This window comes from Homo sapiens, chromosome 20, assembly GCF_000001405.40.
Source record: "Homo sapiens chromosome 20, GRCh38.p14 Primary Assembly".
NCBI classification, from domain to species: domain Eukaryota; kingdom Metazoa; phylum Chordata; class Mammalia; order Primates; family Hominidae; genus Homo; species Homo sapiens.
In genome coordinates, this window is record NC_000020.11 from 18,378,915 (window position 1) to 18,403,963 (window position 25,049).

The 25,049-nt window shown below is 45.0% G+C and overlaps 1 protein-coding gene and 2 long non-coding RNA genes across 33 annotated transcripts in view, besides 1 other annotated feature; 2 read left to right on the top strand and 1 right to left on the bottom strand.

Moving 5' to 3' along the window:
* The first annotated feature begins 134 nt into the window (after nucleotides 1–134).
* Nucleotides 135–2,570, top strand: LINC00851 (long intergenic non-protein coding RNA 851). Its single transcript, NR_034167.1, has 2 exons — nucleotides 135–155; nucleotides 1,865–2,570. It is a non-coding gene; the product is annotated as a long intergenic non-protein coding RNA 851 (long non-coding RNA).
* A 1,882-nt stretch (nucleotides 2,571–4,452) lies between these two features.
* DZANK1 (double zinc ribbon and ankyrin repeat domains 1) overlaps nucleotides 4,453–25,049 on the bottom strand; it is an 83,664-nt gene continuing 63,067 nt past the window's right edge. For 28 of the 31 annotated variants that reach the window (NM_001367617.1, XM_017027915.3, NM_001367613.1 and 25 more), the window contains 8 exons: nucleotides 19,609–19,712; nucleotides 17,558–17,632; nucleotides 15,340–15,436; nucleotides 14,797–14,897; nucleotides 11,465–11,545; nucleotides 10,787–10,914; nucleotides 6,102–6,176; nucleotides 4,453–5,650 (listed from right to left, as the gene is read on the bottom strand). In NM_001367617.1, the coding sequence (NP_001354546.1) occupies nucleotides 5,485–5,650; nucleotides 6,102–6,176; nucleotides 10,787–10,914; nucleotides 11,465–11,545; nucleotides 14,797–14,897; nucleotides 15,340–15,436; nucleotides 17,558–17,632; nucleotides 19,609–19,712 (827 nt within the window). In that variant the 3' untranslated portion in view covers nucleotides 4,453–5,484. Of the gene's footprint in view, nucleotides 5,651–6,101; nucleotides 6,177–10,786; nucleotides 10,915–11,464; nucleotides 11,546–14,796; nucleotides 14,898–15,339; nucleotides 15,437–15,760; nucleotides 15,945–17,557; nucleotides 17,633–19,429; nucleotides 19,713–25,049 lie in introns of those variants that run through there. The other 3 variants (NR_160274.1, NR_160273.1, XR_007067462.1) reach the window with 2 other exon arrangements.
* Nucleotides 10,011–11,210: an enhancer, noted in NCBI's record as "BRD4-independent group 4 enhancer chr20:18369569-18370768 (GRCh37/hg19 assembly coordinates)". NCBI's record gives its function as "activates an origin of replication core promoter dependent on BRD2, P300/CBP, MED14 and CDK7 cofactors, and independent of BRD4, by STARR-seq in HCT116 cells {active_cell/tissue: HCT116}" and the evidence as "EXISTENCE:reporter gene assay evidence [ECO:0000049][PMID:35650434]".
* LOC124904877 (uncharacterized) lies at nucleotides 10,910–21,195 on the top strand. The gene is made up of 2 exons (XR_007067546.1): nucleotides 10,910–11,104; nucleotides 20,820–21,195. It is a non-coding gene; the product is annotated as an uncharacterized LOC124904877 (long non-coding RNA).

The window sequence follows — 25,049 nt, forward strand, 5'->3', positions numbered from 1 at the left end:
AAAACCCACCAACCACAGAGATGCAAGCTTCAAGTGAGCGTATCTGCGCTGCTAGTATCCTAGCGGGGTGGGAATCAGAATGCAATGACCTCGATGTGTGTTATTACATAGGTAGAAGGTTCTAGAACTATGCTGTAGCCAACCCCCATGTGCAGGTAGGGGGCATTTAAAATGTGGTGAATTGAATTAAGATGTGCTGTAAGGATAAAATGCACACCAGATTTCAATGACTTGGTGTGAAAAAATAACATAAAATATATAGAATATTGCATTAACAATTTAGATGAATTATAAATTGAAATAATATTTATTCTAGTAAAATATTTTTAAAACTTTTATTTTCGGTTCAGGGTTTGTTATATAGGTAAACTCATATCATGGGGGTTTATTGTACAGATTATTTTGTTACCCAGGTACTAAGCCTAGTACCCAATCGTTATTTTTTCTGATCCTCTCCCTCCTCCCAGCCTCCACCTTCTGAGAGGCCCCAGTGGGTGTTTTCCCCCCACCTGTTTTTTTTTTTTTTTGAGACAGAGTCTCACTCTGTCGCCCAGGCTGGAGTGCAGTGGGGATCTCAGCTCACTGCAAGCTCTGCCTCCCAGGTTCATGCCATTCTCCTGCCTCAGCCTCCCGAGTAGCTGGGACTACAGGTGCCCGCCACCACGCCCAGCTAATTTTTTGTATTTTTTTAGTAGGGACGGGGTTTCACCATGTTAGCCAGGATGGTCTCGATCTCCTGACTTCGTGATCTGCCCGCCTCGGCCTCCCAAAGTGCTGGGATTACAGGCGTGAGCCACCGCGCCTGGCCGGTGTTGTCCCTCTTTTTGTGTCCATTTGTTCTCATCATTTAGCTGCCACTTTTTTTTTTTTTTTTTTTGGACATGGAGTTTCACTCTCGTCGCCCAGGCTGGAGTGCAACGGCAAGATCTTGGCTCACTGCAACCTCTGCCTCCTGGGTTCAAGCAATTCTGCCTCAGCCTCCCGAGTAGCTGGGACTACAGGCGCCCACTACCAGGCCGGGCTAATTTTTGTATTTTCAGTAGAGATGAAGTTTCACTATGTTGGCCAGGCTAGTCTCCAACTCCTGACCTCAGGTGATCTGCCTACCTTGGCCTCCCAAAGTGCTGGGATTACAGGCGTGAACCACCGTGCCTGGCCAGCTCCCACGTATAAGTGAGAACATGTGATATTTGGTTTTCTGTTCCTGTGTTTGTTTGCTAAGGATAATGGCCTCTAGCTCCATCCGTGTTCCCACAACAGACATGTTCTTGTTCTTTCTTATGGCTGCATAGTCTATTTCATGGTGTATATGTACCACATTTTCTTTATCCAATCTGTCATTGATGGGCATTTAGGTTGTTTCCATGTCTTTTCTATTGTGAATAGTGCTGCAATGAACATACACATGCATGGGTCTTTATGGTAGAATGATTTATATTCCTTTGGGTGTATACCCAATAATGAGATTGCTGGGTTGAATGGTATTTCTATTTTTAGCTCTTTCAGGAATCACCATACTGTTTTCCACAACGGTTAAACACTCCCACCAACAGGGTATAAGCATCCCCTTTTTTCCACAACCTTGCCAGCATGTTATTTTTTGACTTTTTAAAAATAGCCATTCTGATTGGTGTTAGATGGTATCTCATTGTGGTTTTGATTTCCATTTCTCTAATGATTAGTGACACCGAGCTTTTTCTTTTTTTCATATGCTTTCTGGCCACAAGTATGTCTTCTTTGGAAAAGTATCTGTCCATGTATCCCAGTAAAATTAATTTTGCTTGTTTCTCTGCACTTTTAGAAGTATGGCTACTAGAAAATTTATGATTGTATATGTGGCTCAGATTGTATTTCTATTGGACAGCACTGTCTGGACTCTAGAAGATGCTCTGATTCAAGAGGATGTAAAGAAATTCTCTAAGCCGATAAGAAAAATAGAAGAAACCCAAATGGGCAATGAGTGCATGGGAACTCACTCACCTCAGTGGAAAGGAGGGAATGGCAAGCCAGCCCACTGAAGCCCACTGGGGACATAGGACAAGTCTGCAAAGCAGAGACAGCCCCTCCAGGAAGAGCGACCAGGCCTTGAGAGGACATGGCCTTAGGACCAGATCCAGGGAAGACACAGTCACTAACCCCTGGCTCATCTGGCAGGTGTGGGAAGCAGCCAGGCCCGTGGCTTCACCAGCTCCCCCCGATCTCTGCCTTCAGCTGTCCTGCAGCCTGGGTCAGGCACCTAGGCAGCTTTATGGCAGGCGGAGATGCACCACCCACATCCTCTTTCCAGGCAGGGCTTGCTGCCCTGGCTGTAGCGAGTGCGGCAGCAGGTGGCCTCCAGCTATCAGCAACTTCAGAGAGCTGCCTTGCCTGAGGTCCCGTCCCTTCTGGGGAAGCTCCCATCTGCCAGGGGGCTACAAAAGCACAGTGGACACCATGATGGGCAATTCTGGCTGATGGGAGCACCACCTGGTGGCTGAGGCATTCTTGGGCCACATAGCAGTTGACTGCCCTCTCCACCATCTTTTCACAAGTGTTAATCCCAATAAACACCCATCCTCTTCCATCCCAAACTGTCTTGGCATCTGCTTCTAGAGAGCCCAGCCTGGGGCAAATTTCACGGGAAAGGGCGCATCTCCTGCAATTTGCCTGTGACCATGAGGGTGGAGGAGGGAGATGTGTCCCCATGGGTTCCAGCTTGTCCTTGCTCGTCCCCTTCATGCTCACCTGTACTTCCTGAACGTAGCCCTGCTGTGGTACAGCATCTTCAGGCCCACCATCAAACTAACCAGCTCAAGCACTGAAGAGAGTCTAACTCCTTTAATAAATTCCTTGTTCCAGGCTGGGCGTGGTGGCTCACTCCTATAACCCCAGCACTTTGGGAGGCTGAGGTGGGAGGATCACTTGAGCCCAGAAGTTCGAGACCAGCCTACATAGGGAGACCCTGTCTCTACAAAAAAAAAAAAAAAAAAAAAAAAAGTTTTTAATAAAATAAATTAGCTGAGGGCAGTGGTTTGTGCCTGTAATTCCCAGATACTCTAGAGGCTGAGGTGAGTATCGCGTGAGCCCAGGAGTTTGATGCTGCAGTGAGCCATGATCACACCATTACATTCCAGCCTGGGTGACAGAGAGATAGATACCCTGTCTCTAAAAAATAAAAAAGTTTTAAAAATCTCATTCCCTTTCACTTAAAGTGGCTCTGTTCCCTCAACAAGCCCTGTCATTAGGAAAAGAAAAAGAAAGCTTTAGAAAGGACAAAAAACAACATGATTTTTCACATCAGAAATGTTCTGCCTTAAAATGTGTTTAATTTTCCTGAAAATATGTACTTTAATATTAATAGAACATTTTATGTGACCCTGTAGGATTTCATCAGAAAGCGTTAAATATTAGGCTGCCTTTTCACTTTTTAGTCCTATTTTAACGGAGGTTTGATTCTGAAAGAGTGAAATTCAAGGGTGATGAATGTAGGCTGTGAGCTTTAGAGAAAGGAAAGGACCCTAGCATGAGACATCAGATGCGTGATTTACAGATCCCTGAGTCTGGCCAGCCGGCACTGGAAGGGCCTCTTGGTTTCAGAAGGTAGAATCCTCCAAGAGGGAGTGTGGAAAACCTAAGAGGCGTTAAAAGCGTGGTTCCTGCACTCAGGGCACAAAAGTTCCCCACCAAGAACCCCAAGGCAATTGTTTCTAGAACCCACGGGTCCATGAGGCCCTCCCTGCTCCCTGAGGTCTGGGGAAAATGGCCTTGAACCCCATTACCCCCCACTAGACTTCTCCCTCTGCACATCTTTTCACAAGTGTTGATCCCAATAAACATCCATCCTCTTCCATCCCAAAGGCAGGGTTTGCTGCTTGGCGGTGGCAAGCACTTCCATCCCTTCCTTCACACAGGATGTGAGTGGCAGAGGCACCTGGTGCCCTATAGCCACCATCCAAGCATGACTGCTGTTGCTTTTCTTCTATCTTCTGAATCTCATGCAGTTTTTCTTGGGGCCAACCCTGAAGAGAACCATAAGGGAAGAGAATTCTGGGCAAAGTAGTCCCAGCCAAGCTGACACAGGGCAAACCACCACAGGCCCCAAACCAGATGATCACACTCCCCAGTCTCCCTGGACACTGGCCACCATGCAGCAGCCTCCCTTACACGAGTGGCTGAGGGGCTGATAGGGGTAGGAGCAGTGGCGGTGCCTGCCCAGGGGCCTGTGTTCCCGCGACTTTGCACCCTCTGTCCTCCCACAGACAGCTGCCCAGTCTAGGGAAGTATCACCACCCAGCAGGTGGTGATAACAGTAACCACCTCAACAAGGCCCATTACTTATTGTGCTGAATTAATTATAGCAAATTAATAAATATTCTATTACTTATGTTAACACAAACTAGTTAGGGACTTCAGAACTGCAGCATTACCACCCAAAGATTAAAATAATGACGTGAAGAAAGGAATGAGTCAAAATTACACATTCTTATAAGTGGTTTATTGAGAGCTGATTTGTCAATCAAAGAACACACCATAATGATGGGAATATTGATGATTTCAACATAAAAAAATTTAAATAAGGTCAATCTTTACATAGTAATTAGGAGCCACTTACAAGATGTATCAAGCAAACAGAGCAAGATACAGAACAGTGTGTGGTTGGTTTGCTACCATTTGTTTTAAAAGAGGGGAAAGAATATATATGTGCTACAGACATGTTTATATGCTATGTGTACTCCTCTGTACATGTGCTTATACCACATGTATGTGCATATCTAACTCTGCACAACCCCGGGAAAGGCAAGTCGACGCTGATGTCATTGCTGGCTGAGGAGAGAGGTGGTGGCTGTGGGACAGAATGGGAGGGACGTATCCCTACATAATACTTCATACCTTTTAGCTTTGAACCATGTGCAATTATTACCTATTGAAAAATAAGTTAAAAACTAAAAATCAAATACACAAAAAACCTGCAGCAATAAACCATTAAAAAACATACATTCAGTTTATCACAGTCCACAGTATACTGGGAGCTGTCCATTTAGTACTGATGGCTTATACTGTCATATGATTTAAAAAAAAAATCTCCTGAGTTCCTCTCAACCTCAATTTCTAATCTCAAATACACATTTCAGAAAGACATGATTAAAGAATAGCCAGAGCTGCACATATTCTTTTTTTTTTTTGAGATGGAGTTTTGCTCTTGTTGCCCAGGCTGGAGTGCGATGGCGCGATCTTGGCTCACTGTAACCTCTGCCTCCCGGGTTCAAGCGATTTTCCTGCCTCAGCCTCTCGAGTAACTGGGATTACAGGCATGCACCACTACGCCCGACTAATTTTGTATTTTTAGTAGAGACGGGGTTTCTCCATGTTGGTCAGGCTGGTCTTGAACTCCCAACCTCAGGTGATACGCCAGCCTCAGCCTCCCAAAGTGCTGGGATTACAGGCGTAAGCCACTGTGCCAGCCATGCACGTATTCTTAAATGAAGTCCCGTGGAGGCCTCAGGGCTAACAGTCATCCAGGCTGAGGCTCCTAGTTTGAGCGAGTTGGTCCTCAAGCCCTTGGCCAAACTTGGCAGCAAAGAGTGAGGTGACAAGGTCATCTCCAGTGTTCAGAGCCAGGTCGTATGCTGTCTGGCCTCCTGCATTCTTCTTTTGGATGCTTGCATTGCATCTGCAAAGGAAATGGAGAAACGGAGGTGCACTGAAGGACTTGAACATGTGACCCTAAGAGCTTGACTCTACCCTGCCATGGAGGCCAGGCTGGGCCCCTCCTGGTCCCACCTCCCCAAACCTCTCCCCAAGAGGTCACAGTGACTTCAGTTCTCAGAGGTGGCTCTACCCTGAAACCTTTAAAGAGGCTCTGTGATTTCAAAATGTCCAATTGCAAATCCTGGCCATTGGTTCCCATTGCATTAAAGTCCTACAACTGAGTGTGTTTAATGGGGGCAACATTTTCATTGCGCTTTGAAAAGCCCTCAGTGCCCCGGAAGCCATGGTGGGATGGTGGTCCCCATGGACAGGGACAGCAGTTCAGGAACCAAGGCCCCTCTTAAAATCATCACAGGCCATTAGGGAGATCCCTGTGGCCCTCAAAAGTATCCATCAGAGGCCAGGGGACATACCCCAGTAAAGTGGCGGTGCTCTCTCTTCCTGCAAGGCCAAGCAGAGTTGCTTCATGAAGAGCTGTATTTCTGAGCCTAATGAGGGGGGAAAAATCCTGGATAAATCCTTAGTTAGCATCATCAGGAAACTGGAGAGGATGCATGTGACCCAAGGTCCTGGTTTTGCTCACCGACCTACTTAACTAACCTGGGAAACCTCTTGAGTCTCCTCTCTCTGCCTTTCTCTTGGAGGAATACTGTGATGGAGGGTAAGCTTTGATACTAGATAGTGCAAAGGTTATAAACACATTCATTTTTTAATGTGAGAAACCCACAAGGATATGGTTGGTAGTTGATTTAATAAATGCTAATAAATACCATTGTTCTAAATTGCCTGCAAGAGTTTATGCAACATATTGGACATAGTCTTTTTTTTTTTGAGACGGAGTCTTGCTCTGTCACCCATGGTGGAGTGCAGTGGTGTGATCTCGGCTCACTGCAACCTCCGACTCCCAGGTTCAAGCGATTCTCCTGCGTCAGCCTCCCAAGTAGCTGGGATTACAGGCACATGCCACCATGCCTGGCTAATTTTTTTGTATTTTTAATAGAGACGGGGTTTCACTGTGTTAGCCAGGATGGTATCGGTCTCCTAACCTCGTGCTCCACCTGCCTTGGCCTCCCAAAGTGCTGGGAGGACACAGTCTTAACTTTGGCTTGGACCTCTTGGGCACGATAGTAGCTTCTCAGGGCTGAAGCTCCTATTTTTGTGTGGGGAAAATGACCTTGGCTCCAGTGAGTTGGGCTTACATGATATGAAAATAAACACCAATCTTAGAAACCAGGGGGCAGGCCTGAGAGGTCAGACACAGCATATTTTGCTGCAATGCCAGGGTTTCTCTCCGTATTTCCTGGTCAGGTTTGACCTAGTGAGGGAGGAGTGGGCAACTGAAATGGAGGCTGGAGTGGCGCCAGGACTCCTGAAAGGCTCCTATGCAGAGGTGGCAGGAGTGAAGGAGGGCAGGAGTCATGACTGGAAGTAGAAATGAATAGGCATTGACGGTCTGAACTCTCTCTGCCCCTGCTCCTTCCTTTGACGCCATCACCCTCATCCTCCACACCTGCAGATGTGCCTGCAGCCATGCATTGATCCCTATGGAGAAAAAGGAGAGTGGCTTCCTCTCTGATGAAGATAAAGAGAACCGCTGGTGAGAATCAGAGGGAAGCTTTTCACTTTCTGGGACCCAGGGGTCCTAGCCTGGGAGTAGCTCCATCTACCCAGAAAGCCTCCTGGTTGACAAAGCCGTTCTCTTATACACAGAGTTACCAGTCATGTAGCCCAAACTCCATTCTCAAATGTGAATGGACAACAAAGGTTCACAGACATCTGAGAAAAACCTGTAGAATCAAAGAGAAAACCACGATACACAAACACAAGGAATTTAAAACAAGACAAAAATCTAACTGGTATCTGCAGAATGAGTCAAGATAATATTGCACAAAAGTATGAGACTATGAAAAAGAAACAATCAGAACAAAAGCAGCTCCTAGAAAGAATAACGATTATTCAATAGGAAGAATGGACAACAAAGTTAGGAAAATCTCTCGAAAGATAGAAGAGAAAAAAATAGATGAAACTATGGAAAAACAGAAAAGAAAGACAGACATATGGAGTTAATTCAAGCCATCCACTGTCCAACTAACAGTTCTAGAAAGAGAATAGAAAAATGGAGGGGAGAAAATGCCAAAGAGATAATAGAACAAATTTTTCCTAACCTAAAGAAAGATAAGACTTTTTAAATTGAAAAGGCCAACTGGGTGAATCAAAAACAGCACATCTAAAAATACCCTTGTGGAATTTCAGAACATCAAGGATAAATGCTTTCAGAAAAAACAGGTCACAAATGAAGAATTTGCCATAGAATGTTCATGGGCTATGCTGTGTGCCAGTGTATTAGTCCATTTTCACACTGCTGATAAAGACATACCCAAGATTGGGCAGTTTACAAAAGAAAGAGGTTTAACTGGAATTAGTCTGGAAAAGACTGATTTCCTCCTTATCTTTCATCCTTTCTTCCTCACTGGTGGCATAGAGCTTAACTCTCTGTCACTTCACCCCTATGGTTCCTTGGGCCTTTATAAAGCATTCACCATTTGAACTGGGATATATTCATAGGGTTGCCGCATCTCCTAAGTAGACTTAAGATCTTCTTTCTTCACAATTCTCCCCATATTGAGAGCAGAGGGTTCATTCTATGTATTGCATGGGGGGTTTGCTGGTGGTTAGATTTTCTGTGCTGGCTATTTCCTATGTATCCACAGTTCAGTTTTGGAAAATGCTGAATGGTGACTCTGCCATGGAATTTGTATTTTAAAGAAACTTTACTATTCATATACAAACAATTCAAACTATTTACTCAAATCTAAGTATCATGGTAGATTAATGTACATTCTCTCCTTAAATTACCTAATGGAATAAATGTCCACAGCTGAACCTCTAAGAAGTAGACTGATGCTTGCATCTTCCTCACCTGGCTACTGGGGCAGAGCCAGAGGATGGCATGTTTGGAATCGCCAATGCAGTGAGGAAGGGCAGCTCTTGTCCAAAAGCAAACAGCATTTCTCTGGGCCTCTCACCTAGTGAGATCCTGAGCCTGTGTTTCTGAAATTTGCTAGTAAGAGGAATGAGCTTTGGTGGAGGATGTGAATTTCTCCTGGCCATTCCCTTTTGTTGAATATGAGTTCATTCTGGTAGGAATGATACAAACATGGAACTAGGAAATTAGGAAAGAGTTTTCTGCCACCTGCCAAGCTACTTAATGGAAGTTACCTGGTGAAGAGACCACCTAGGCTCCACTAGCCAAACATGCTCAGATGGGAGACAGCATTTTAATTCTTGTTTGCTAAGGAACAACTCGCTGAGCCTCTTTTACAGTAAAACCAGATCTCTGGATGACTTATGCCTAAAAGCAATAGGATGGATGGAACTTTGAGGCCATGTTCCTGGGTCTACAGAGGTCCAGCTATGGGGCAGAGGCTGGGCTGATCCAGGCCCAAACTCTTGAAACTAACAGATATAAACCAGACTTGGCAGAATGTGGCTCTCAGTGGGAAATGCTACTTTCCTCTACTGGCATGCACTGGAAAGGAAGAAGAGATCCCTGTGCTCTACGTGAGAGAGGGCCAACCCTCTAGCTTTCCTCCCCACAACCATGTGAGCTACATACTGCCCACAGTCACCATGATCCTGCAGGGGGGTGACAAAGGCTATTACACACCATTCAGATAGACAGGTATAACCGCAGTGTCAGACTTTACAGACATGCAATGAGATCACATGTGGATAAATGCCAATTTACAGAATGGTGGTGAAGCAAACATGGAAGCTGAGGCACAGCAAAATAAAAAGGCAATCTGTTCAATGCCCAGGGCACTTTCCTCCTCTTAGCTGGACTCTTCATAAAGCCAGGACTCACGCTGCTTACACTTCAATTCAAAATGCGCTCAAGTAATTTCTGTATCAACCACAAACATACTTAAATGCTATTTAAAAAGCTTTTCTGAATTATAAAAATATAAAATATGCCTTAACACAAAACAAGGCAGCACCATTTTATTAATAATGACAATAATACAACAGTGTGGGATAAATAAATAAGTTGACACAGTAAACTCTAAGAAAACTTGAGAAAATAAATTCCAAGCATCGAAGCTTTACACCAACACACCAAACATTCTGCTGTAAAATAAAACTAACAAAAGGGGGGTAGAAGCTATTAAAATGCAGACATTAGTAAAATGCATATAGAAAAATTAACAGGATTATATTTTGAACACTAACACTAGAGACAGTTTTGAAACAGAGAATAACAGAAGCAAAGCTACTGAAATTTTGGCCTCCGTGGTAGCATGAAGTACACAGCAGAATGTTCCACTGACACGGACCTTGACCTCGCCTTAGTAAGACTTCAGGAGGTAGGAGTGTTAGATGCCTGTGATGTCCCTAGAAGACTCATTTCAACAACGTAGTCGGCAAGATATGAGAAGTTAACATGAATGACTCATGCTCAAGGAATTTTCACCCCATATTTTCAAAGTACTTTTTGAAAGAACAACAGAAGCACACAGCTAGAAGAGAAGGTTATTGGACAGGAGTGGACCAAGACTGGGAGGGTAAGTAACAGGACTTGGTACCTTTCTGTTTTGTATCACGGGTGGGAAAGCAAGGCAGCAGGAGACCATGTGGTGACCTCAGATGTACCAGTCTCCTCTGCAGTGGTGTGAGATCTGGAGACAACCGTATGATATTTTCTTTCTGCATTAACTTCATGGGGATATTTTCATGGGGAATACACTAAGGTCTGTCTTCCCTTGGTGTTTTCACGATTCATGATGAAAACATTGATTAACACCCCAAGGGCTAAGGATTTACTGGCCCCACACAGTATAAGTTTATGAATTAACAAAATGTATCATCATTTATAAAAGCCACTAAATTAGGCAATCCAACAGTCCATTTTTAAAATTTCGCTTTACCCAGCTATGGAAAACAGAAGGCGTTAAGCCTCTTATTAAAGCTGAAATAGGTTAAAATGGTTAAAGTGGCTGAAACTGAACAGGGTGTGTGTGTAGACCGCTTCTGCTGCAGTGGAGCTCCAAGCAGTCAGCCTGCTGCTACCTTAGCTCTCCTTTCAATGTGTTTCACTTACGGCCCCCACTGCTGGTCGATGTCTGCTCCTCTCTGCACGAGAACTGGAATCGCTTCATGGTGCTTATTCATAACAGCCACGGTTATGACGGGTCGATTGTCTTCATCACAGCAGTTGGGGTCTGCTCCCTGCAGCAAACGGAAAAGGACAAACTCTCCAAAACACCCTGCACTCAACAGCATCCAGTCGCCATCCTATGAAGTATAACAGATGTCCTTTACAGAGCTGATGCAACTAAAGTGCTTTCAGATCAAAGGAGAGGAGAATCAGGAACCTCAAGACCTGATCTACGATGAACAGAGCTACAAAGTTACCCAGGTGACAAAACTTCTGTTCCCCACATGGGCGGGGAGGGGAGGGCAGGCACCCTGACAACCTTGCTTCTTTAGGAAACCCAGGATAAAGGTAATATGGGGTCATGGGCCAGAGATTCTATCCAGCTTCATGCATGTTCCTTGGTCTCATCTGTGCTTCTCTGCCTATTTTCTCTGATATAAAAACTAGCAACAGGGAACAATTAATATAAAGCTTTTGACTAGCCATTCACTATATCCCGGGTTTTTAATCAAAGGGCAGTGTAATTTTCACAGTATTGAACAAAACTTTCATCTGAAGGAGACAGAGGTGGAATGCCAGGCTGAACTCTTCAGAGAGACTGGCTCCTTTGGCAACACTTACCTCATCCAGCAGCTGTTCAATCACAGAGACTCTTCCTTCCCCCGTGGGTCCGACTTCCTTCAGCAGGAGTCTGTTTTCAGGCTGCAGGATTACAGAATGTGGTCATTTCCCCCACTTCAAAATATTCACTCAAGGCAAACACTTTCTTTCCAACATTGAATTCTAAGTCACAAGGACAGGTGACTATGAGTGTGTGCATGTGTGAGTGTGTGAGTGGTCTTTAATAGCCCACAGCACAAATATCCACATCTAATATCAATCTTGCTGCTCCAAAACCTTGCTTCAGGCAAGGTTACCGCATGGACACTATTTTATATTAAGGACAAGGATGCCATGAGAAACCTCACAAAACCCAGAAACTCCACACTAGTTTTATTATGACTAGAGCTCTAGGAAAAGCAATCAGGTGAATCCTAAAATTTATTTTGCATACTTTATAAAGTGTTCAAGGTCAGCCAAAGTATGACAGTTCAGAAAATATACTCCCCTGAGGAACGAATGAGCCAATAAATTGACTTCTTCTTTAGAAAAAAAAGGAGGGGCATAGTAGCTCACACCTGTAATCCCAGCACTTTGGGAGGCCAAGGCATGCAGATCATTTGAGGTCAGGAGTTTGAGACCAGCCTAGCCAACATGGTGAAACCGTGTCTCTACTGAAAATATAAAAATTAGCCACGTGTTAGCTGCCTATAATCCCAGCTACTTGGGAGGCTAAGGCAGGAGAATCGCTTGAATCCAGGAAGCAGAGGTTGCAGTGAGCGGAGATCATACAACTACACTCCAGCCTGGGCAACACAGTGGGACTCTGTCTCAAAAAACAAAACAAAACAAAGAAAAAGCTCTCAGCAATTTCAAGATCTTTTTTTTTTCTCTGAGATGGAGTCTTGCTCTGTCACCCAGGCTGGAATGCAGTGGCACGATCCTGGCTCACTGCAACCTCCGTCTCATAGGTTTCAGCAATTCTCCTGTCTCAGCCTCCTGAGTAGCTGGGACTACAGGCACATGCCACTATGCCTGGCTAATTTTTTGTATTTTTAATAGAGATGGGGTTTCACCATGTTAGCCAGGATGGTCTCGATCACCTGACCTCATGATCTGCCTGCCTCAGCCTCCCTAAGTGCTGGGATTACAGGCGTGAGTCACTGGGCCTGGCTGAGTAACTTATCTTTTTATATTTTTAAATGCCATAAATTCATCTTTATATATAAAGAATTTCAAATGCTGAAAGACTGAAGGAAGCTGTTTAGAAAGCAAGAGACATTGCTTTTAGTATGTTTCTGCCTCTGGATCCCGGGCATGGCTGTGGGGTGGTCACAGGACCACCATTTCCATTTGTAAAGTGGAAATAATACCTTCCCTGTCCTTGCTCCTGTGAAGCCATGGCCATGAGGACACTGGTCAAGGCCTCTGAGCCTTTCAGAAGATGATGCCTGGTCCAGGCGGTGCTGCCTCCTTTCTCGCTGTCCCCATCTTACTGATGAATAGCTTAGAACCAAGTACTCTAATCAGTAAACCCCCAGCAGGGGTCTTGGGGAGCACTTGTTTACACTGATTTCCATTCCTCATGGAAATGTGTACTAGAATGCAGTAGGCATGTCAGCTTCAGGAGGTGTGAGACCTTTACGTCTTTTGTTTAGGTTTTATTTTCAACACGTAGAACAGTGCCTGGTACACGTGTGCTCAAAAATAATCACTGAATGAGTGAACAAATGTTACAGCTTCTGATACTTATCCCCTAAGTGCAAATGAGAAAAAAAAGCCATATACAGTGGAAGATTCAGGTTATACACAGAGTAAATAGGTAGAGTCTCCCAAATTGTAAGCTGTTCAGTTTATGGAACTCTATGCTTTTATACCCAATAACAATATTTCAAACTGGGAGAAGGTGGTGAGTACAAGAAATCCTAAAATACAAAAGTTGAAACAATTCTAACATATTCTTTCCAAATGTACTGGTGTTTGTTACATACAAAGCATGTGGTGGGAAGAAAAAAAAGATAAAGAACAGAGTCCCTGCCTCCAGAGGAATCAGGAGGCAAGCTGGGCAGCTAGTGCACTGACAAGGCGGCGTTGAGGGCCTGGCCTTGGAACCACACATGGAGGGAAGCACACGGCATCATGCAAGTGTCCAGCTCGGACCCGGGCCCAGGCCTTGGGACTTGCTGCTAATCACATCTGTTCTTTGTATTGCAGCCAAGGAGGACCAATTAAAAGGCAAGGCTGGGGATGGAGCAGGTGGCATCCACTGCCCTTTTCTCCAAAGCTCCTTTTAGAACTATTCTTGGCATATATTTTTAAAACACAAAACTCTAAAGATGTGGGAAACTCTAAAACGGTACTGACCATCGGTGAATTAGTAATTTTGAGAAATTCCAAGAAGACTGAAAGTAGATGAAATCTGACAGGGAAACCAAACCAAACCAAACCAAACCAAACCAACAAAAATCCAGCTGAAGATACCAGAGGTAGGAGTGTTTTCTTTCCAGGGGAGCCCTGCAGAAGCTTAAATTAATCCATATGGAGGTTAGGTGTTGGGCGTAGCCTGAATGCATGAGTAGATTATTAAGGGCTCCGTGGTGAATAGCTGAGATCGCTAGTGCCTTACCCCTTCTTCCCCATGTAAGAAGGGCAGGAGGCTTGTGCACTTTGCCCTGATAACTATTTCGCAGAAAGCATAAGATTTGCCCAACAAAGGCTTCTACTTGGTGCACTGGGGCCCAAGAAAGGAGAAGGGCAGAGCCTAGACCTCCATGACAGACACAGGGGAGGGTGTAGAGGGAAAGGAAAAAAGCTTCATCCCAAGCTGAAACCCGTGAGAGCGCTTCACACACCAACACCCTCACCACCAGAGGAAGACCTTTTCCACCAGCAACACAGGGGATCTGAAGGCTTTCTCCTGCTCCCTGCCCACACTCCCTCCAGGGACGTCTGTCCACGACATGCCTGTCCACTCACACAGGGACTTCAGGGTCCATCCTCATGCTGGGCACCAGGCCAGCATCTGCACTACCCAACTAGTCTTCATTTGTCAAACGACCAGACAACCAAGGTTCCATATTTGAGGCAAACCAAAGTCGAAAGATAGGCAGACAGAACTGACCCCAGAGGAAACACAGAGATGATTCAGGAAACTGATGGGAACTTTGAAATAACTCTAATTCATAATCTTGAGATACTTTAAAGAAGTCTAAAGGACAAGGATGCCATGAGAAACCTCATAAAAAAGGAACAGAAAATGAGAAATTATTCTTCCATTTTAAAAAAGGTCAAAATAAAACCTGAAAATCACAGGCTGAAGACAACATCCACAAGGACCAAAAAAAGACACTTACTATAAGCTGCTCCTTCTTTTCTTGAAAAGTTTTGGTCTTGAAATTCTTTATCCTTTTGATTTTTTCAATAGTATCTGAGGTACTCTGGCTGTAGTCACTCACTGAAATGACACAGTTGGGGAAAAAAATGATGCCCCTCCCCCAACTCCCCACACAAACAGTTATTTCTTACTTCCACGTCCCTCAAAAGTCAGAGGATAAAATGGCTATCATAGAAATTTCTATTTGATTAAACCCGGCAGGAGAGACTCCTGGAGCCACTCTCCTGTCCAGGAACCAGAGGAAGGGTGGGAAGGAGAGGAAAAGAGGGACTTCGGTTTTTAGGTCCAAAAGTGCACCCCACAAATGAATTTCCCCAAGCCCTGTAAAGGACTTCAAAAGTCTCACCTCTGACTTCAGAGAAGCCAGAGAAATAAAACGTCTGGAACATAACTGCAAGATCTGTGACCGGGCTGTCAAACTCTTAGCAGTTCTCTGCTATACCTGCCAAGTCCATGTGTTCCTGGTCAGTTGTTTTAAAATTGCCAGAAGGGAATAACTCACCCCAGCTGGACCTGCTGCCGCACAGCCCCCCATCACCCTCGGCAGCACTGCTCAGAAGGTGATCGCTGAAATTCACTGCCTTGTTCAGGTAAAGGTTCTGGCCAATGAAAACATTTAAACACCATGAATGATGAGGCTGCTTTGTCCCACTAGAAAGAAGGATCTCCCTTCTAACCTGCTCCTCCTTATTAAGTACAGCTCTACCTACCCAGAGAGTGGAGCCTGAGACCTGGATGTCCTTCCTGACTCCTCCTCACCTCCCCAGCATGCTTTGTCCGTTCTGCCCCTTACCCGCGGCTCAGTCTGGCCCCTCCTCCTCTCCCTCCCTGAAGCCCCAGCCCCCTCGTCTCACATTGGGACCATCACAATAGCCTTTCAACAGGGGTCTGCCAGCCTCCCTGCATGTGGCTGTCCCAGTCACCTTTAGATCCTTTATAAGTGATTGTGTCATTTCTCTGCTTAAAGTCCTTCAATGTCTTGGAATTAGGGTGTCATGATGGGAAGGTCTCAGGCTGCCAAGTGTGAATCCTGGGTCTGCCACTTACTAACTTAGTGCCCTTGGAAGAAGCAGGTTGCTTAACTTCTCTGAGCCTCAGTTTCCTCACCTGGAAAGTGGAAATAATATGACCTACCTCAATGGCATGTCGTGAAAGCAAAATGCAGTAAAATGGGCGTCTACATAATGAGGCCAGACACAGAAGTCTGTGTGCACCCGGACTGATCCCCCTGCACCCTCACGTGGCTGCCTGCTCCTGTCCCAGGGAAGAGCCTGCTACTTCCTGAACACTAGAACATGCAGGCTAACAAAAGATTTATTAAACCTAGGGCCCAGGTGCAGTGGCTCACTTCTGTAATCCCAGCACTTTGGGAGGCTGAGGCAGGTGATCACTTGAGGCCAGGAGTTCGAGACCAGCCTGGCCAACATGGTGAAACCCCATCTCTACTAAAAATACAAAACTTAGCTGGGTGTGGTGGTGTGACCCTGTAATCCCAGCTACACAGGCAGCTGAGGAACGAGAATTGCTGGAACCCAGGAGGGGGAGGTTTGCAGTGAGCCAAGATTGTGCTACTGCACTCCAGCCTGGTTGACAGAGCAAGAATCTGTCTCAAAACAAAGCAAAACAAAACCAAACCAAAACAAAACAATGACCTGGGAACAGTTACTCCAATTCTACTTGTGAGATAGCTAGCACATTGGAGGTGCTGCTGGTGGCCTGCCCCATTCCCACTAGCTGGCCAGGTTACTCACCCCAGCTGTTGTGTAGCTGCTAAGAGCTTACTGCTGGACCTCCTTCCCCAGCAAAGTGCCCTCAGTAGGTGGATGCTGCTTTGCCCTAGAGGTCATGCTCCCTCTCCTCCTTGCCTCAACTGGGGACAACTTTGTGGTTTAATTCATTCTCCAGAGTTCCCCTTGGATCAGGCTAAAGCTCAACTTTGCTTTTGTCTACCTGCTCATTCAGTCCCTTCCCCTTCCTTGACCTGCTTCTCTCACTTCCCTTCCCCTGAAGTTCCTCTCTGACCCAAGCTCTGCTCTAGTCACAACAATTAAAAAGAGCAGTTAGTGCTTTATTTGGTTTCAAAGCACATTCATGTGCATTAGCTCGTTAGATACTCCCAGCCTCCCCATGAGTTAGACAGGGCCCATGCTTCTATCCCAATTTCAACAACACCATTAGCACCTTGCCAGGGCCTAATAAATGTTAATTTCCCTCCTTTTCCTTGGCTTCTCAATTGATTGATTAATTATTCTGACTTTTTGTCCAGTGAAACTAAAGCTGCTAATGTCAATCAATTAATGTTTGAAACACATTTACAGGCTCTGTGGCAATGCCCCCGTCACCATATAAAAGGGAAGATCAAGGACACATGGCCACAAAGTTTGGTTTATTTTATAGAAGAAAATATGTCAAAGGGCATATCAGCAAATATTTTTGTTAGTCTTTCCCCAAATCAATTATATCACAGACATGCCATCAGACTTCAGTGAGTCTGAATAAGCCTGAGAACTACAGAACAACTCCTGTTCTCACTATATCTTCATGTGCCTGTCTGAGGTTTAACTTGTTTATCTAATTCTATGAAATTGCTTGCCTCTAGTAGCATTTCATAATGTGTGAAACTTTTCCTTTCTATGGATTACACAGAAGCATTTCTATAAATTGTCTCAATTTACTAATCGGTCAGTTCTCAAATGAATAACTTCTGGAGGCTTACTCACCTTGTTTGAGACTTGACTATAATTCAGTCTGATGCTAACTTCACAACCATCTTCGTGGACAGTAGCAGAGATAAGCTTTTAAAAGAGTTGTAGAGAGAATTCATAACTGTGGGTGTGGGACTCATTGCCTTAAGTAACAGTGTACAAATTCTGAGATGTCAAACTCTAAATTTAACCAAATATTTAATTAACACAGAAGAAAGTAGGAAAAGAAAAACAGAGCAACAAAAACTAGACGAGATAAATAGAAAACAAAGAACAAAATGGCAGATCCAAATCCAACCATATCTAAACTCTACTAATTATAAATAAACTACTCTAAAGAGACTGCCAAATTGAATAAAAAGGCAAGATCCAAATCTATGCATTCTTCAAGAGATGCACTTTAATCAAACTACATGACTAGATGTTATCACCTTGGAAAAGATATCCTGGTAGGGGGCGGGGACAGGGCTTGGTAATTAAGGGACAAGTATCACAGTTGAGCAGCTTTCTGTGTAAGTAGCAATAGGAATTTAGATTAAGCCAAGGGACAAGAAATGTTTTCATGAAGGGTCAGATAGTAAATATTTTAGGTCTTGTGGACCATATGTTCTGTATTGTGAATACTTTACTGTCATAGCACAAAGCAGCCACATAAGTAAAGGAATGGGTGCAGCTGTGATCCAATAAAATTTTATTTATAAAATTGGGCAGCGGGCCAGATTTGTCTCAACCGCCACAGTTTGCAGATCTCTGGATTAGGCTGAAGAAATTCATAAACTACCAAAATAGATTATCAAAGGAAATTGGGTAATACTGGAAAATGAGATCGTCTTGATGTTGGCCTATTTGGCAGCAGAAGAGTACACAGCCTATTTCATAAAGTTCCTTCTAGTCTTGCGACAAACAGAGGAAAGGTCCTCTCACAGAGCTGTCTTTTTATAATGGCAATGTAGTATCAAAGAAAGGACATGGGACTCTGACAGGGTCCGACAGATCTGCTTCAAATCTTGAACCCCATGAGACCCAGCAGTGTAGTCTTGGGCAGGTCACCAAACCTCTCTGAGCTTCAAAATTCCTGGGTGTCAAATAAGGCTTCTTCTGACTATCAACTGCGGTGTGAAAAACCACCCCAAACTTAGTGAAATTAAACCACCACCACTTTATTATGCTATGGATTCAGAGAGGGCATAGCAGAGATAGCTTGTCTTTGCTCCACATGTCTGAGGCCTCAGCTGGAAGACTCAAATGGCTAGAGGTGGTTGGATGTCTGGGGGCGGGAATCATCTAGAGTCTAGTCACTCATGTGGCTCATGAGCAGAGATGACTCGAGGACTGGGTTCAGCTGGCGCACCTACATGCGGCCACTCCATGTAGCTTGGGCTTCTCATAGCAGGGTGGCTGAGCTCCAAGAAGTGCTGGAGGTGAGTGTGCCAAGCAAGAGAAAGCCACATGACCTTATGTGGCCAAGCCCTGGAAGTCTCATGGCATCACTTCCATCATAGTCCGTTAGTCAAACAGTCACAGACCCGCCCAGATTCAAGGTGAGGGGACACAGATTCTACCATTTGAGGGGAAGACAGTCAAGGAATTTGTGGTTATTTTTTTTAAAGTGATCACAAAGGTAATACACCTCCCTTGCAGGTTTGCTGTGAAGGCAAGAATGATGAATACAATGCTGATGCTGGGTGCACTGTAAAATGGCAGCTGTTATGTCACTATTGCTATATATTAACAGTGTATGATTTAAGTGCACGATCTGGATGGATTAAATTGTTCTGGGACCTTTCATTCTGACTGTTAGAATTTCCAATGTGACATCTGAGCATGAGATGTTCAGAATTTTATTGTCTTAGGTCAGGTGCCCCAGAAGCAGACTCTGAGACAATATTCATGTGCAAGTGATTTATTAGAGCAGAGCTCACAAGGCAGAAGAGTAAGAAAGTGTAGAAAGCAGAGCAGGAAAGGGAAAGGAGCCAGGCAAGATGCAGTTTCAGGCAAAGTCCATGGAGGGTTCCTTCAGCCTGATCCCGTGGACACTTGTGGAGTGGAAATTTCATCTCACCCACCTTTCCCATCCTGGGTTCTGCAATCAAGGCCCGGAATTCAGGGTTGTTCTGAGCATAACACCTGAGGTGAGCAGAGATGTGATCCAGCTGTCTTCTCCAGTACCCTAAGAAAGAAGAGAAACCCCGCCATCTGGATGATTCTCCTGAGACTAAGAAAGAAAAATGATAGCATGGAACATATGTTCTTAGAGAGGTTAATTTCCTTTGTCAAACTTTGTGATGGACTTTCCTTAGTGAACCTCAACTATGCTCTGGAACAAGTTCCATTTTCCTCCATAACTGCTTGTTACATGTAATTAATCATAGACTATTATAGAATTTCAAAAGAGGCCGAGCATGGTGGCTCACGCCTGTAATCCAACACTTTGGGAGGCCGAGGCAGGTGGATCACTTGAGGTCAAAAGTTCGAGACCAGCCTGGCCAACATGGTGAAACCCTGCCTCTACTAATAATATAAAAATTAGCCGAGCATGGTGGCGTGCACCTGTAGTCCCAGCTACTCAAGGGGCAGGAGAATCGCTTGAACACATGAGGCGGAGGTTGCAATGAGCTGAGATTGCACCACTGCACTCCAGCCTGGGCAACAGAGCAAGACTACATCTCAAAAAAAAAAAAAAAGAAACTTAAAAGAACATATTTTGATTGCCACACATGGGGTCTTTTCTTTTTCTATGATTCTATCCCACCTACAATAACTTACCTAATATTTTATTTTATTTATTTTGAGATGGGATCTCACTCTGTTGCCCAGGCTAGAGTACAATGGTGTGATCATGGCTTACCACAGCCTTGACCTCCCTTGGCTCAGATGATCCTCCCACCTCAGCCACCCACGTAGCTGGAAATTCAAGCACGCACCACAACGCCTGGCTAGTGTTTGTATTTTTTATAGAGATGGAGTTTCACCATGCTACCCAGGCTGGTCACAAACTCCTGGGCTCAAGTGATCTGCTTGCTTTAGCCTCCCAAAGTGCTAGGATTATAGGTGTGAGACACCGCACCCAGCCCTTACACAATATTTTAAATGTACCATTTGGGGCTTGCCAAACGTGTACACCCCAATCAATATATAAAACATTTCCATCACTCTAAAAAGTTCTCTTGGGTCCCTTTCCAGTCTGCACAGGGTTTAAGACACATTTGAATTAGTTGCCACCATTTAAAACTTGGGAGATTTCACGTGAGTCTGGTGCCCGGTTTCTCATATGCAGGCGGAAGACGCAGGGGCACTGGGCTCACCTTCCCACACAGGCTGACCACCTGAGGCCAAGGAGCAGCTGGCTGCTTTGGACAGGGCACAGGCTCTCCAGCCAGCCACAGCCCCTGCTGTGCCCTGTGGCCACTTGACTCTGCAAACCCACATTGGATCCCACCAACAAATGAAGACACTAAGCTGAAAGCAATCAGAGGGATTTTCCAAGGTCATGCAGCATGGTTCAGTGGAAAGAGAACATAATTTGGAGTTCAGACAAGCCTGCGTTTAAATCCTAAATCTACCATTTATTAGCTTAGTGATGTTGAGCCAGACACTTAAATCTCCCTAAGCCTTACTTTTCTTACCTAATAAAATGGAACTAATACCCCCTACCTCATGTGTTATTGTGACAAGAGAACCTAAGTGTTCTTACTTGGGTTCCCCTGAAAGCAGAACCTGAGATAAAGACTTAGGACAGGTGGTTTCTTTGGAAGGTGACCGTGGGACATGCAAATGATGGCGTATAAAGAGCAGGACAAGGAAGGGAAGGAAGAACGAATGTGTTAAAAACTAGTTAATACCCTGGGCAACTGGGGCCCGATCTTGCTGGGGATATGAGGGACCATGGAGAACATGTCTCACAGTTGTCTGCTGAAGGACAGAGAAGCTAGGGGATCTGCTCCCCGGCTCCCTTGCCCATGAGTGAGGGCAGCCCAAGTAGTGTCAACTCCCAGTGCTTCAGGGTTGCACCTGTGTACGGATAGGCAGCCTTCTCCTGCTCTGAAGTTGGAGGCAGCAAAGTCAAGAGAGATAAAATTATTTAAATAAAACAGTGAGAGAGAGAATGGGGCACATTTGATGAGGCATGCTAGCAATGATGGGTGAAACCATCCACCACAGCTGCACTGAAAACAAGCAGGCTGAGATCTGGCTTGGGGCATCTGGAGAGTCCACTATGAGTAATCGAGACAACACTAGAGATCATACTGAGCCTAGTGCACTGTTTGACACAAAGTAGCCATTTATCCCACAAATATTTACTGGGCACCTACTATTGGTCATGTACTATTCTAGGGCTAGGATACAGAAGTGAACAGAGTTCTTGCCCTCAAGGATCTTACATTCTTAGTGGACACAGATAATATGAAAATAAATAAATACGTATGTAGGAGTATGTTTAAAATGAGGTTCTGACTGAGAAGCTACAATACAATAGATCTATACTTCTTTTTTTTTTAGACGGAGTCTTGCTCTTGTCACCCAGGCTGGAGTACAGTGGCATGATCTCAGCTCACTGCAACCTCCGCCTCCCGGGTTCAAGCCATTCTCCTGCCTCAGCCTCCTGAGTAGCTGGGATTACAGGCACCCACCACCACACCTGGCTAATTTTTGTACTTTTAGTAGAGATGGGGTTTTGCTATGTTGGCCAGGCTGGTCTCAAACTCCTGACCTCAGGTGATCTGCCTGCCTCGGCCTCCCAAAGTGTTCTGATTACAGATATGAGCCACCGAGCCTGGCCTAGATGTATATTTCTAAAATGAAATCTCAACTCTCAAAAAAGCACTGAGTAAGGACCTTGTGAGGAAGTCCTTTGGAAAGGGTCATTGTAAGACTGTGAGTCCCCAGGCTGAACGAGGGAATTCAAAGGGACTAGTTTCTGCTACAGGAAACTGAAAACCTATTTCTATTATCCACTGCTACCAAACAAAACACCCCAAAACTTAGTGGTTTAAAACATCAACCACTTTACTGCCCATACTTCTGTGGGTCAAGAATATGGTCAATGCTCTGCAGGGACGGTTCATCTCTGCTCCACATGGTGTCAGTTGAGCCATCTCAAATAGGGCTATGGGATCCAAGATTATTTCATCCACAAGGCTAAGGCCTCAGCGAAGATGGCACAAACTACTGGGAGCTGTCTGGGATGGCTCAGCCTTCACCTGCACTCATTCAAATGTCTGGAGTCTTTGGGTTGGGTGCTGGCTCAGGTGCTCTGTTCTTCTTCATGTGGCATCTCTTCTAATTCAGTAATCTATACTGAACTTCTTTACACAGTGCTGACTTCCTAGAGAGTTAAGTGGAAGCTTTCAGCTCTCGTAAGGCCTAGGCCCAGAACTATCACGGTGTCTCTTCTATCACTCTCTATGTCAAAGCAAGTCACAAGGTCAGTCCAGATTCCAAAGGAAGAGAAACAGCCTCTTCCTCCTAAGGACAGGAGGGATGTGAGGAGTGATTCTGGTCATCTCTGCAGACAATCTACCACAGGTCTGATACCACATTTATATCTGGAAGACTTCAGTCAGACTGTGGGCTGGGTTTTGACTCCCACTAAGGACATCCAGAGGGCAAAGAAGATCTGGGAATGACCAACTTCTGGCATGGCAGCCTAGGGATTTGAGTGGACCTACTCCCCAGTAAAATTGTTAGAGTAGGTAGCTAGGGAGACATGAGCAGGGCAGGAAAGGCTCCCCCAACCCCCAGAAATGTCAGGTGACCATCAGGTGATGGTCAGGCAGTTGTTAAACTTTCTCTAAAATAACAATTGGCTGCAGCTGGTGCCAGGGGACAGCGGTCTCCCAATAGATAGAAGACACCTGAAGCTGGTGATCAGCAGCTTCCCGATGAGATCTCAGGAGTTGGACGAGTGGGATCAGGCATGTGCACTAAGAAGAAAAATGGCAGAGTTTAACTGGTACATGACCTTTCTCTAGGAACACTCAATGGATAAGGGAATGCCTCAAGTGAGCATGCACACAACTTCCATAAACATACGGTGCATGTGGTCCCTCCCAAGTACTGGCAGGCCACTGAACATGGGGACAGCCCACCAAGAGGAATCAGGGTAGAAGTAATGCAAACTCTGGAAACATGCCAATGTATAAGCCCCACATTAAGGGCTGAACAGCACACTTGAATCTCTCAAGTCACCCGCTTGGCCTTCTTCAAAGTGTACTTCCTTTCGTTCCTGCTCTAAAACTTTTCAATAAACTTTCACTCCTGCTCTAAAACTTGCCTCAGTCTCTCACTCTGCCTCATGCCTCTCGGCCAAATTCTTTCCTTCTTGGAAGCAAGAACTGAGGTTGCTGCAGACCTGTAAGAATTTGCCACTGCAAACAAAACTATTTTAAAAAACAGCAAAATCCATCACAAGTACTTTAGAGCCATCTAGAAATGGTTCTAAAGCCATACAGAAAATAAACATTTAATGAAAATATACCAAAACTCAGAATCATGAGAGTCTGTGGTGTTTGAACCATGGGCCACTCCCTTCCACATGTTCTCAGCTCCACTCCATATAGGTGCAGATGAGTACACAGGGCTCCCTCTCCTCAGAGTTCCCAAAGGGGTGTAGTATCTTCCGAGGAAGGACAGGGACTTCAGTATTTCTCATCCTGTCCCAATTGCCCTTTGCACAGGCTAAGTTCTGGCCAAGTGTGGTCAAGAGATGGGGGCTCCCTTTCTCTGCTCAGTTACCACTCATGGGATAGATGTTCTACCTTTGATCTGGGACACTGAGAATACTGGGGTCCAGACCACCTATTCCTGGATCATTCAGCACAAGTCCAATGTTGGGAGAAGCAAGTCATGAAGAACAAAGGCTACAGCTGCACATGCTCTGTTGCTTACCCAGCCCCTAAAGCAATGGTGCCACATTGAAAAAACATGCCATTGTCTCCATCCAGAGCATTGGCTCAGAGATTTTGCCCAGGGGAAGAGGCAGGTCAAAAAACAGAGTTCAGAATCTCTCCCCAAAGAAACAGACTTCATTTGTAACAAAGTGTGGGAAAGTTCAAGCCTAAGGCTGCTTTCAAAACAATGGAGGGTGTGTTAAAAAGCAGTTAAAAGAAGACTAGAAGATTCATTAGAGATGTGAGCTAAATAGGCCAGCCAGTTTACTCAGATCAGAGAAATAAACAGCTAAGAAGAGCCCTCCTGAGGTAAGAAAAATATTCAAACACTGACCTAAAAAACAATCCCTGTAAAGCCAGGTTGTCCAACCCACAGCCCATGGGTTGGACATGTGACCCAGGATGACTTTGAATGGATCCCAACACAGATTCATAAACTAACTTTCTTTCTTTTTTTTTTTTTTTTTTTTTGAGATGGATTCTCACTCTGTTGCCCAGGTAGGAGTGCAGTGGCATGATCTCGGCTCACTGCAACCTCTGCCTCCCAGGTTTGAAAGATTCTTTGGCCTCAGACTCCCGAGTAGCTAGGATTATAGATGCCTGCCACCATGCCCGGC